This window comes from Homo sapiens, chromosome 4 (assembly GCF_000001405.40).
Source record: "Homo sapiens chromosome 4, GRCh38.p14 Primary Assembly".
Classification (NCBI taxonomy): Eukaryota; Metazoa; Chordata; class Mammalia; order Primates; family Hominidae; genus Homo; species Homo sapiens.
The window spans coordinates 56,085,727-56,099,272 of NC_000004.12; the positions used below are offsets into that span (position 1 = coordinate 56,085,727).

Here is a 13,546-nt window from a genome sequence, read left to right on the forward strand (position 1 = left end):
ATTGGCTGACCCCTGTTCTGTATGAAAGAAAAGGAGGGGAAGAAATGTAAAAGAAGGAGCTTGAACTGACAATTTTTAGATATAGGACTCTGATCAATGTTCTGAGGAGCACCAGGCTAAAGAATAGATTCTGGAAGCAAGAGTTATTTATTTATCTTTTTCCCTTAGATTTTTAATATTATGTATTTATTCATGGTATAGTTTCTCTTTTGTAATTTGCTCAGTTTAAATTAGATTTCACTATTTCCTATTCTTCAATTCTCCCTGCATGTTACTATTTACCATTCGTAGCACTCCCCAGATTTCTTATTGCATACTCATTCCTAGAGAAGCAAACAGATGAGAGGAATGGCTTTCTTTGCAGATGGAGACGTGACCTTTCACTTACAAAAAGGGAAGCAGCCAGTTGATTGCCCCTGGAGACCTAAGCAGGGTTGTGAGTGCTAAGCAGGCAGAGCCCAGCAACTCTGAATCTTGGGAGGGAGCCAGGAATTGCAGGGGGTCGGGGAGTGCATGCTAATAAAGACCTGCGTCCTTCCTTTCTGTTAGTGTTTGTTTGTTTGTTTGTTGAGACAGGGTCTCACTGTGTCACCCAGGCTAGGGTATAGTGTTGCAATCATGGCTCATTACAGCCTTGACCTCCTGGCCTCAAGCAATCCTCCTACCTCAGGCTCCTAAAAGTGTTGGGATTATAGGTGGTGAGCCACTGAGCCCAGCCCTTTCTGATAGTGTTGAATCCTATTACTCACACTGAACCAACAGTCTGAAGTTCTATCTGAAGTGTCCCCTTAGCTCATGTTGGAATATGCTGACATTTTTGTTCCTGAGGTACCCCGGACACCTCCTTCACTTTCCCTTCACCTCTTCCCTCATCTAATCCATGCAAATCCAGTGCCCCATTCTATTTGGATCCTCTTCCCTACCCCTCCTATCTGATTTCCATGGCAGTCAGGAAGTGTCCAGGTGCGTCACTTTCCCGGCACCGCCCAGTGAGTTTCCTCTTATCGTTTCTCCATGGAGGCTGTTGGCTGGTGAAGTTGGTGAATCAGCCTGGCCCCCATCAATGCCACGTGGTCTTATGACTGACTTTGGGGCTTTGATCCTAGAACCACTTTGAACACATTTCCTCTATTCTCAGGCAGGCACATCTGAGAAAGAAACTGTCACCGCTCCCCTCTTTCACCTTCCATTCACTTCTCTACCACAGGTACTGGGTACCAGCCCTGCCATGCCACACAAATGCTCTCTCTCCCTCTTCTTCCTTTTTGAAGGAGTACTAGGGATTTTGTCTTTTTTTTATTTTGAAACGGAGTCTCCCTCTGTCACCCAGGCTGGAGTGTGGTGGTGTGATCTGGACTCACTACAACCTCCGCCTCCCGGGTTTAAGCAACTCTCCCTGCCTCAGCCTCTGGAGTAGCTGGGATTACAGGCATCCGTCACTATGCCCGGCTAATTTTTGTATTTTTAGTAGAGATGGGGTTTCACCATGTTGGCCAGGCTGATCTTGGACTCCTGACCTCAGACGATCCGCCCACCTGGGCCTCCCAAAGTGCTGGGATTACAGCCGTGAGCCACCGCGCCCAGCCCTAAAGGAGTACTAGTGATTTGGCATTGAGAAATAGGATGGATGCATTTTCAGTCCTTTCCTAACTCAATGACTTTGTTGCAGAGACACTGTTGGCCATTGACATGTGGAAATGTTTCATCCCCACATTTCTTGGATCTTCCTCTCGCTTCTGTCTGCTCCTTCTTGCGGAGTCTCCTCCCTGGGCTGGTTCACCCCTTTAATGTTGCAGTTTACCTGATTCTTTCTGAAACCTTCTTCTTCCATATGCCTTCTTTAGCTGGTTTCACTCATTCCTGTGGCTCTGTCACCTCTATGCTTATTGCTGCCAAGTGTGCATCACCATCCCATCTGAATATTTTCTCCTACACATCACACTCTTTTATCCAGATGCCTACTGGACATAACTGGTTCAATGCCCACAGACATCACAAAATTCAATGTATACAAAACCGACCTCAGTCCCTTCTCCCTAAAACCTGAAGCTCCTCTTTTTTTACTTACTTATTTCAGTTACCCAAGTCACTGAAGCCATAAACATGAACATCTTCCTAAGGAGTGTGTCATCACTCTTTCTTCTCCTCCTGTATCCTTCCTTCACCTGTCTGCTACCATGTCGCTAATTCAGGCCCTCATTACCCCTCTCCACTATCTCTTTCTCTTTTGTTTCCCCTTAAACCCATCTCTCCTTCTGTCACCATGTCTAAAATTTAAATGCATTATCATTTCACACACTTGAAAATTCTTTCAAGAATTTTCTAACACTTACAGAATAAAGCCCCAAATCTCCAGTGTGACTAATGACTCTATGATCAGGCTCCTCCATCTCTCTAGATTGTTTCTTTTTTTTTTTTTTTTTCTTTTCAGCTTTTATTTTAGGTTCAAGGGGTACATGTGCAGGTTTGTCACATGGGTAAATTACCTGTCATGGGGTTTGGTGTACAGATAATTTTGTCACCCTAGTAAATAGCGTAATACCTGATAGGTAGTTTTTTCAGTCCTTACTGGGGCCACCCTCAAGTAGGCCCTGGTGTCTATTGTTCCCAGCTTATTTATTTATTTTTGAGACAGAGTCTTATTCTGTCTCCCAGGCTGGAGTGCAGTGACGTGATCTCGGCTCCTGCAATCTCTGCCTCCCGGGTTCAAGCAATTCTCCTGCCTCAGCCTCCCAAGTGGGGAGGCTGGGACTGCAGGTGTGCACCATGATGCCCGGCATTATAAGTTTAAGAAATACTTACTTATACCAAAATTATCTGGTTTCTCAGGCAGTAGGAAGAATAATGGATTTAGTATTAAAGACCTCAGTTGAAGTATTCTTTTAGCCATTTTTAGCTAAACTGATTTGTGCCAAGTTACTTACTGCCTCTAAGGCTCTCATCTTTAAAATGGGCACACTACTACTAATAATTGAATAATTGAACAAATTATATACTGTACTTTTTTTTTTGACGGAATCTTGCTCTGTTGCCCAGGCTGGAGTGCAGGAGTGCAGCAGCGTGAGCGTGGCTCACGATAACCTCTGCCTCCCGGGTTCAAGCAATTCTCCTGCCTCAGCCTCCTGAGTACCTGGGATTACAGGTACCCACCACCACGCCTGGGTAATTTTTGTATTTTTGGTAGAGACAGGTTTCGCCATGTTGGCCAGGCTGGTCTTGAACTCCTGACCTCAGGTGAACCACCTGCCTTGGCCTCCCAAAGTGCTGGGATTATAGGCATGAGCCACCATGCCCAGCCTAGTTTTTCTGTAGTATTGTACCTCAACTTTTTCACTAACGAGTTAGAGATATTTTACTTTGGGTTTGAGTAAATGAATTAATATTTAATATCACCAGTAAAGTGTAGCATTTAGAATGTCCCCTAAAAGTCTGGGACCACAAATTTGTGCCCTGTGAAGATCCTACCTTACCCGGAATTTGAATTTCCTGTGCCAGCTAAATTGGGTCACTTTGTTAGTGAAAGCTTGTGTTGCTGCAGTCCCAGGGCATCTTGCCCTTTGTTAGGCTGTAAACACGATGCTGTCCTCTTCCCTCCTACTCCTTTGCTGCTTTTATTACTTGAGGGTTCACTTTGCGGATTTGTTTTTCTGAGCCCTATCACTTTTCTTGATAGAGTGTCTACTGTTAAGTTGCCGCCTACGGCATTGCTTCCTGTGGGGAACCTAGCTAGTGTGTGTGCAGGAACTATTTAGACAAAGTAGTTTTGGTCAAGGTATTATAGGATTTTTTTTTTTTTTTTTTTTTGAGACGGAGTTTCGGTCTTGTTGCCCAGGCTGGAGTGCAATGGCACGACCTCAGCTCACCGCAACCTCCGCCTCCCGGGTTCAAGCGATTCTCCTGCCTCAGCCTGCTGAGTAGCTGGGATTACAGGCATGGGCCACCACACACAGCTAATTTTGTATTTTTTAGTAGAGGCGGGATTTCTCTGGTTGGTCAGGCTGGTCTTGAACTCCCAACCTCAGGTGACCCACCTGCCTTGTTCTCCCAAAGTGCTGCGATTACAGGCATGAGCCACCGTGCCTGGCTATAGGATTTTATGGTCTGTGACACTAGGTTCCCGACTGAATTGTTCCAGGTGCTTACCTGTGAATGGGAGGAGGTTTTATCAACCATTAAGAGTTTTAATCCATCATTAGTCTGTATAAAAAGTTCTTAATGAGGAGTATTACATTGACTGTATAGTTTCACCTTAAAATTTCATTTTAAAATAGTTTCATTTGCTTAACCAAAATATTCTGAGGGGCATCTAGGGGCCAAAAACTACTCCTCATGAGGGGATAACAGTGGAGAGCAAGAGAAATACATATTCTGCCTTCCTTAATCAGATGCCTTAATATGAAAGGTAAACTTTATTTTCCTTTTTTTTAAAAAAAAAAAAAAACTGGCAGGATCAACTAGTTAAGAAAGGTAAACTTTACACAGGTAGTTTCACAAGTGATGAAGATAATGAACGTGAAGTACAGTATTTAAGGGGAGCTGGAAAGGACTGCACTGGGGTCGTCTGCCTGGCACCCCTTTTCTAGGAATCTCCTCTTATACCCAGGCGTTCCTGTGGTTATTGTTAGTGCAGCTTGACCCGAGGCTGGGTCCGAGGATGAGCACCTGCCAAGCTGGGCCAGGGATTTTTTTGAGACAGGATCTCATTCTGTCGCCCAGGCTGGAGTGCAGTGGCACTATCTTGGCTCTCTGCAGCCTTGACCTCCCAGGCTCAAGCAATTCTGCCTCAGCCTCCCGAGTAGCTGGGACTACAGGTGCGTACCACCACACCCAGGTAATTTTTGTATTTTTTGTAGAGACAAGGTTTTGCCATGTTGCCCAGGCTGGTCTTAAACTCCTGAGCTCAGGTGATCTGCCCGCCTTGGTCTCCCGAAGTGCTGGGGTTATATGTGTAAGCCACTGCGCCCAGTCAGGGCCAGGGATTTTTGAAATGGCTCAGAGGCTAGAAGACCAAGGAATTTCTGGGTGTCTAAACAGCAGTGTGAAAGTGTTGGTCCTTTTAGGGGCCATAGTTCCAACCATAAGTCCTGAAGGAGTGGAGGAAGCCACAGTTAGGGGATGGGAGGACGTGACTCTGTTACGCAGAGGTTTGGATCCTGGAGATGGAGTGAAAGTTCTGGCAGTGTTTGGGTTTTTGGTTAGAGTTCTTTCTGAGATCCAACTGGGTTCCTCAGAATCTTTACAATAAATTTCCCTTATTTATTTAAGCTAGTTTGGGTTGAATTTCTGTTGCTTCACACAATAGTAGTTTTTTCTTTTCTTTCTTTTTTATTTATTTATTTATTTTGAGATGGGGTCTATCTCTGTTGCCCAGGGTGGGGCGCAGTATTGCAATCCGGGCTCACTGCAGCCTTGAACTCCTGGGCTCAAGCAATCTTTGTGCCTCAGCCTCCTCAGGACTATAGGCATGTGTCACCATGCCAAGCTAATTTTTTATTTTTAGTAGAGACGAGATAGAGACACTATCTTTTCCAGGCTGGTCTCAATGTCCTGAGCTTAAGTGATCCTCCCATTTCAGACACCCAGAGTGCTGTGTCCTGGGATTTTAGACCTAAGCCATTGTGACTGGCCAGAGTAGTTCTTTTTTTTTTTTTTTAAACGCAGGCATATGTAACAGGGGGACCTCACCTAAATTAAGGAATCAGGGAACACCACTTGCAAAATATTTTTACAGCAGTGCTGTAATTGTTGGTTGGATTCCCAGGATAGCCCATAAATGATCATTTAACTCATAGTGTAGCTGGAGTTTCTCTTTAGAATCAACTCATTTGTTCATATTGAAAGCCTGCTATGTTTCAGGGGCTGTGGGAAAGTGAAAGGGATGATCCTGCACTGGGCGTTTGAGGAGGTTTTGCTTTACTAAACCACTTGCTGCCATTGTCATGTGCTCTGTTATCTCCTCCTAGGTTTTGTTACATTATGGGTTAAGTAGACTTTGGTGGGCGAGTCTGGGAAACGAATTTCCATATGATATTGTTCTATGGAAAATGCATTTCCTAGTTTGTGGGGGAGGAAATTTATACCCTTTTTGCTATAACAATTCATTAATGCAACCAATATTTATTGAATACCTTCTGTGTGTCAAACACTGTTGGAAAGAGAGTAATGAAAGATACAGAAAAGGATCTGCTGTTATGGAGCTTAAATTTTAAACTTTGAGAGGCTGACACGGGAGACTCGCTTGAGGCCAGGTGTTTGAGACCAGCCAAGGCAACATAGTAAGACCTTGTCTCTATAAAAAGAAAGAAAAAAAGTTTAGTGGGCCACAGAGTTGGGGAAGATTGTCAATGAACAGTGAACAAATAAATGAACAAAATAGTTTAGTGATAAGTGTCAAGAAGAAAATAGAAGAGGACCTGTGGAGGAGGGTGACAGGTTGGGGTGATGAGTGACTTTGTGCCAGGGAAGGCATCACTGAGGAGGAAACTTTTCAGCTGACATGCACTTGACTCAAGGAAAGAAGGTGCATGGTGCTTCCAGGAATGTGCTTCTCTTTTCTACCAGCTCTGAGGCAGAGGATATCTATCCATCTTGGGCCCCGAGGAATAGTCCTTTTGCTTATGGGAGTCGGTGTGGTAGAGACCTGTGCTGTCCCAGTACCAGTGGCTGTTAGCCAGAAGTGCCTGTTGAGCACTAAATGTGGCTAGTCCAAATTGAAGCATTCTGTAAGTGTAAATTTCAAAGATTTAGTATGAGAAAAAGAATGGAAAGCTTTTATATTGATTGCACAATGAATTGATAGTATTTTGGGTACATTGGTTATATAAAATATATTATCAAAATACATTTCACTGGCTTAATTTATTTTATTTATTTTTTAATTTTTTAATTTTTTTTGAGACAAGGTCTCACTCTGTCGCCCAGGCTGGAGTGCAGTGTGTGATCATACATCGTTGTAGCCTTAAACTCTTGGGCTCAAGTGATCCTCCCACTTCAGTCTTCCCGGTAGCTGAGACTACAGAATGGCACTACCACACCCGGCTAATTTTTAAATTTTATTTTATGTAGAGTCAGAGTCTTGTGATGTTTCCTAGGCTCGTCTCGAACTCCTGCCTCAAGTAATCCTCCTGCCTTACAGCAGGAGAGCAAAGTGTTGGGGTTATAGGCATGAGCCACCACGCTCGGCCTCTTTTTAACTTTTTTAATGTGACTACTAGAAAATTTAAAATTACATATGTTGCTCATACTGTGTTTCTGTTGGACATCACTAAATATATAGATGAATTAGTGCGGGTGCTTTGGAATCAGACTGAAGTGGATTTGAGTGCTAGATCCACTACTTACTGGAGTTTTTTCATAGTTTCTGTGCTTGTTTGTTTTTCTTTGGCAGTTTATTTGGTTCTCCTTAGTCCTTTCTTATCTGTTAAATGAGACCCATAATGCTACCTAGTAGGGTTATTTTGAGGATTAAATCAGATTTGGTTGAGTGCCTTACTGTGTGCTAGGCACTGAGGAGTCATGCTAGCCTGTAATTCACAAATGTTAGTTTCCTTTCCCCACTTCCTGATGCGATGTTAAGTCCTGCCTCCTGTAGGTACTTGGGGATGTGTCTGGAACTCAGAGAGCCAGGTTGAGAAATCATTGTGCAGGTTCATGACGCGTATTCATTTGCATTTTTGCTTCTTTTCTCTTAAGGTTTTGGAGGTCTTTATTAGATGATGAATATAATTATTTCCGTTTTACAAATAGAGATGTCATTATAGCCAAAGTGGCCCTGTAGAGTTCCCTGGGCACATGGAACCTGGCCTTGTGTTTCCTGCACCCAGCTACCTTCCCTTCTTTTAAAGGCTGTCATCTTCTTCCACGAGGTAGGCGAGTCCTGCCACTGAAAGTCCTGAATAGGAATTCTGATGCCAGGTTCCATTTGAGATCTTCAGTGCCAATGTGATGCCTTATCTTCTAAATGTTTTCAATGCTCTTGTTCTACAAAAGTGACAATATCAGAATCCTGAAGACCTTGCTTATGCTTCAAGAGATTAGGTAACCAGAGGCCCTTCTGGCCCAGGGCAATTTTAGATAGTGATTCATTGGAAGAAAACTCTGATGCCTTTTATTTTGGCAGAAACGCAAAGGCCTTTCCTTCTCAGGTGGTCTCTGTTTCCCTGTCAGTAATGTATGCACCAGGGCTGGCAGTTTCTGGGCCTCAAATTGGGACATAGTTTTGATAATTGGCTTGAATAAGGAAAATTTAAATTGTTATCACTTGGATGACTGCATTTGGGTTCTTGTTAGATAGTCACTAGAAGTCAGATGCATTGGATGGAAAGGTTCGCATCAATTTTAATTCAAGTCATATTGATTGAGTCCAATGTTAGAAAAAATGTTTTACTGTTTTATTAAATATCTGAGGGATTTAAAAATTGTAGTTGAAAGGAAACTATTCAAGATGCAATGAAAACTACATTGGTTGATATGTATATTTTCTTGCAATAATTACTTGTTTCTTTTGAATCCTTGCTGTCTCAAGGAGCTTATGTGCTTTCTTCCCTAAGTAGTCATTATTTTAATGTTTATGATGTCTGCTCCATTGGCTACTGCAGTCTTTCAGTTGGAATTATATGCACAGGAAAAACTAGAAAGAATTCATAAAATGATTTTTATATATTTACTTATGTATTCCATAGTTTCATATAGATTCTTTTTTTTTTTTTTTTTTTTTGAGACGGAGTCTCACTCACTTTGTCACCTAGGCTGGAGTGCAGTGGTGGGATCTCGGCTCACTGAAACCTCCATCTCTTGGGTTCACTGAAACCTCCATTTCCTGGGTTCAGGCAATTCTCTCACTTTAGCCTCCCGAGTAGCTGGGACTACAGGCATGCGCCACCACACTCAGCTAATTTTTGCATTTTTAGTAGAAACTGGGTTTCGCCATGTTGGCCAGGCTGGGCTTGAACTCCTGGCCTCAAGTGATCTGCCTGCCTTGGCCTCCCAAAGTGCTGGGATTTCATGTACATTCATTTTTATATGTTAACAGAATTATCTGACAGATCTTATAAACTACATTTCTGGTAATAAAAGCAAAGATATGTTATTGATTTTGTCAATTCTAGTTTTTAAAAAACTGTAAAATATTTTCAGGTTTATTGATACATTGTCATCCATACACTTACCACCTAGATTTAACAATTGCTAATTTTTGCAATATTTACTTCAGCTATTTCAAGATATAGATTATTTAGAATGTATTTAAAATCCCTTTTGTATTCCTCAGCAATACATTTACATCCCTTCCGCCCTACTGGTAAACACTATTTTAATGCTATATCCTTTTCATTTCTTAAAAAATACTTTAGGCTGGGTGCTCGCGCCTGTAATCCTAGCACTTTGGGAGGCCAGGGTAAGAGGATCACCTGAGTCCAGGAGTTTGAGACCAGCTGGAGCAACATAGTGAGACCTTGTCTCTACTAAAAATAAAAAAATTAGCTGGGCATGGTGGCACCTGCCTGTAGTCCCAGCTACTTGGGAGGCTGAGGTGGAAGACTTGCTTGAGCCCGGGTGGTTGGGGCTCTTCTGAACTAACATTTTAGTTGGGGAAGACAGATAATAAACTAGGAATCAAGAGCATGCAGTTTATCAGTACTATTGTTATCGCAGTGGAGAAATAGCGACGGCAGTAGAGACAAAGTGGGGGAAAGGGAGTAGGGAATACGGCAATTATAAACAGAGTTGCTAGGGAGGCCTCATTCAGAAGGTAACATCTGAGCAAAGGCTTGAAGAAATCGAGGTGGTAGCACGCGGCTATCAGCGGGAAGAGTGAACCAAGCTGAGGACACAGTGTGTGGAAATGCTCCAAGGTGGGCTGCGCCTACCTTGGTCAAGAAGCAGTAAGACCAGTGTGGCCAGGGCAGAGTAAGTTGGGGGAGGAGTGGTAGAAGATGAGGTAACCTGGTCCCTCATGTAAGGCCTTATGCAAAGACTAGCTTTTGCGTCAGAGAGATGGAAAGTCACTGGAGGATTCTGATGAGTGATATAATCCAACTTATCGAGGTCACTCTGATGTCTGTTGAGAGTGACAATGTGGGGTGGGGAGACCAGGTAGGAAGCTCTTGCTTATCCAGCTGAGGCTCATCCAGCTGAGATAGGATAGTGTTAGTTGTGGAGTAGTGAGATATGGTTTTTATATATTTCATATTTTCAAAGATAGAACCAACAGGATTTGATGAAGGATTGGATGTGGGAGATGAGAGAAAAGAGGAGAGTCAAGGATGATGCCAGAGTTTTCTGTCTGAGCTATTAGAAGGGTGGAGTTGGTTTGGTATATATTGAGGTGAGGAGGATTGTAGAAGGAGCAGGTTTGCAGGGGAGGATCAGAGGTTCAGTTTTGGACATAGTAGGTATTTAAGTAGAGATGTAGAAAAGGCAGAGGAATATATAAAGCTGGAATCTTAGGGAGAGATCTGGGCTGGAAACATACATTGGAGAAGCATCAGTATATAGTTGATATTTAAAGCCATGAGACTGGATGAAGTTACCCAGAGAGCAAGAATCAATTGCAAAGATGTTCAAGGACCAAGTTCTGGAGCACTTCAATGTTTACAGGCTTGGGATATGAAGAGGAATCAGCCTAGACTGAGCAAAAGCCTGCGAAGTAGTGATGATGAAGTTCTGGAGCCTAAAGATGGAAGTGTTTCAGGAATAGAGGATATGGGTTGGGCGTGGTGTCTCACATCTGTATTCACAGCATTTGGGGAGGCCAAGGCAGGTGGATTGCTTGAGCCCAGGAGTTCAAGACCAGCCTGGATGACATGGTGAAACCCCATCTCTACCAAAAAATGCAAAAATTAGCTGCACGTGGTGGAGTGCACCTATAGTAGATCCAGCCTGGTCAACAGAGTGAGACCTTGTCTTAAAAAAAAAAAGAGAATAGAGAAATGACCCTCTGTTTCAGATGCTGTTGAGAGGTCGAGTGTGATGAGGACTGAGAAGTGACCATTGGATTTAGTGGTATGAAGGTCACTGGTGACAGTGACAAGAGCAGTTCGATGGAACAGTGGTGGTGACAGATGGCCTGGAATTAGCTTAAGTGATAATAGAAGGAGTTGAATTGGAGATAAGTAGAGAAAACTTTTTTGAGTTTTACTGTAATGTGGAACAGAGAAGTGGAATAGAAGCCATAGAAGGGAAACAAGGGTCAAGAGTTATTTTTTTAAAGATGGAAAACAACATGTTTATTTGTTCCCATTTGCTAGTGGTTGCTTAAGTGGAGAAAGGAAATTAATGATGTAGAAGAATTGGGTAGAATTTCTGGAGCTGTGCCCTTGAATGGATAATAATGGATGAGGCCTGGTGCACAAAGTTGGAGGTTGGCCTTAGACAAGGAAACAGACGTGCCATCCATAGTGATAGGAGGGAAGGCAGAATACTGTCCATGGGCCCAGCTACAGGCAGATTAGTATAAGTAGTGGTGAGGGCTTTTGGCTCTATCATCAGCTGAGAGTGAGGATGGAGGAGGCCCTGTTGGGGATTTGAAACAAGAGGGTGAGGTACAAAATAGTTTTCTGGGAGAGTGGAAGATGAATGGTGTGGAAGGGTGTTAGGATTGCTTAACTGCAGTAAGGGCTCTGCTGCTTGAAGTTAGTGACTGTGAGTTGAGAATGTGACCTGTCCTCTACGGCCATACCACCGTGAATGCGCCCGATCTCGTCTGATCTCGGAAGCTAAGCAGGGTCGGGCCTGGTTAGTACTTGGATGGGAGAATGTGACCTGTCAGTCTAGTTGAGTGTGTTTTTCTAGCCATGTTCAAAAGCACTTGTACAGTTGTGGAAGAGGTAGGGATTGGGTTTGGCTAGGTTTAGTGTTTAGACAGGTAAGCCAGATGGAATGAGAAGAGAGGCTAGGGAGGTGAAGGTGTGTGCAAGGACATGATTGTGATGATAGACTATGGATCTAAGCTGGCTAAGAAATTTGAGGACAAGAAAATAGTGAACAATGGTGAAAGGGTCAATGGCATGTAGGTCCAATGGGATCAAGGAATTGTTAGATGGAGAGAGTGGGAGGGAAAAAAGGAAGGGATAGAGAACAGGATGGAATGATTGCTGTCGTTAATAATTTCAGAGAAGTAGCATTTTCATTTATGGTCTGGTTTTTAGTTGGCAACTGTTTTAAAGAATTATCTCTTTGGTGTATCCCTCTCCTGAAATTGTTAATATTCTGTAAATCAACACTTAAATTTACTAAAGGAAACCCAGAATGAAAAAAAAATTGGTATGTATTTTTAGTTTTCCAAAAAGTTTTTAAAACTATAAATGCTTTGCTTATAGGTTTGATTTTTGCTGTTTCTGTAAAATATTTTTCTAAATGCTCTTTGGGAAATCCAGTGAACTTAGACTTTCCAGTTTGAAATTCTTGTGCTTTAAGCACATTGACTTGACAAATGTGTTACTGTAGACATTGAGGGGACTTAGTAAATTTACTTTGAAATTGAAGTCAAATTAGCTGGCACCAAAAGCATAATAGGAAAAACAGGAAGAACTTAAGGTTTTCTGGTACAGTAGAGTGATAGATTCTGGTATGGACAGGTTGAAAATTCTGCCTTGATTTTTTGTGTTTTCATATATGAAATTTTGAAATTTTTTGAAGGTTTTATTTTCATATGCGATAGGTAAGTCTAATGTTAACTATATATACATTTACACTACTTCGGGAAAATGTAAATAAATATTATGGTCTTGGGTGATTCTACAAAGTGTGATAACTTTAAAAAAGCAAATTAATTACTGAAGGTTTTTCTGATGTACTCTGTAAGAGTAATTTTAGTTGTCACAGATTTAAAGCATTATTCATTTTTAAAAACTGGTATAAACTCTACTTCTTCCACTTACTAATAACAAGAACTTAAAGTGCCAACAGGATAATTCCCAGGGGTTAACACCTTGTTTCCCAGGAGACCTCCACATTGAAACTTGGTGCAATCTATTCTTTTTTTTGAGACAGAGGCTTGCTCTGTCACCCAGGCTGGAGTGCACTGGCATGATCTTGGCTCAGTGCAACCTCTGCCTCCCGGGTTCAAGCAATTCTCGTGCCTCAGCCTCCAGGTGTGCACCACCACGCCCGGCTAATTTTTGTATTTTTAGTAGAGATGTGGTTTCACCATATTGGCCAGGCTGGTCTTGAACTCCTGACCTCAGGTGATCTCCCCACCTTGGCCTCCTAAAATTTGGCTTGGGATTACAGGTGTGAGCCATGGTGCCCAGCCCGGGATCTATTCTTTACCAAGGTAAACAGCATGAACTCTCTGCTGAATTCCTGTTAATTACATTAGAAACAGCATTTGTGTAGATTCAGTGACCATTCATTGAGGAACAGGTGACAGTTTAGATTTCACTTGAAGAATGGGTGACTGTGGACCTCTGAATAATCAAAGTTTATTTTGAAAACTTTGTCTTTCAAGAGTATTGTAGCTACCTTCAGAGTCACATGGAAGATGTTGGTACACTGGACTTGTATTTGTCTACCAGTGACTACCTTATTCAGGTACAATTTTGGGGGT

The 13,546-nt window shown here is 42.5% G+C and overlaps 1 protein-coding gene and 1 pseudogene across 5 annotated transcripts in view, besides 1 other annotated feature; both read left to right on the forward strand.

Moving 5' to 3' along the window:
• Positions 1 to 13,546, forward strand: part of CRACD (capping protein inhibiting regulator of actin dynamics) — a 281,512-nt gene that overhangs the window by 36,629 nt on the left and 231,337 nt on the right. The window lies entirely within an intron of this gene.
• Positions 152 to 804: an enhancer, noted in NCBI's record as "OCT4-NANOG-H3K4me1 hESC enhancer chr4:56952044-56952696 (GRCh37/hg19 assembly coordinates)". NCBI's record gives its function as "activates a minimal SCP1, AML or CMV promoter by ChIP-STARR-seq in naive H9 embryonic stem cells {active_cell/tissue: H9 hESC(naive)}" and the evidence as "EXISTENCE:reporter gene assay evidence [ECO:0000049][PMID:30033119]".
• On the forward strand, positions 11,665 to 11,753 carry RNA5SP161 (RNA, 5S ribosomal pseudogene 161; annotated as a pseudogene).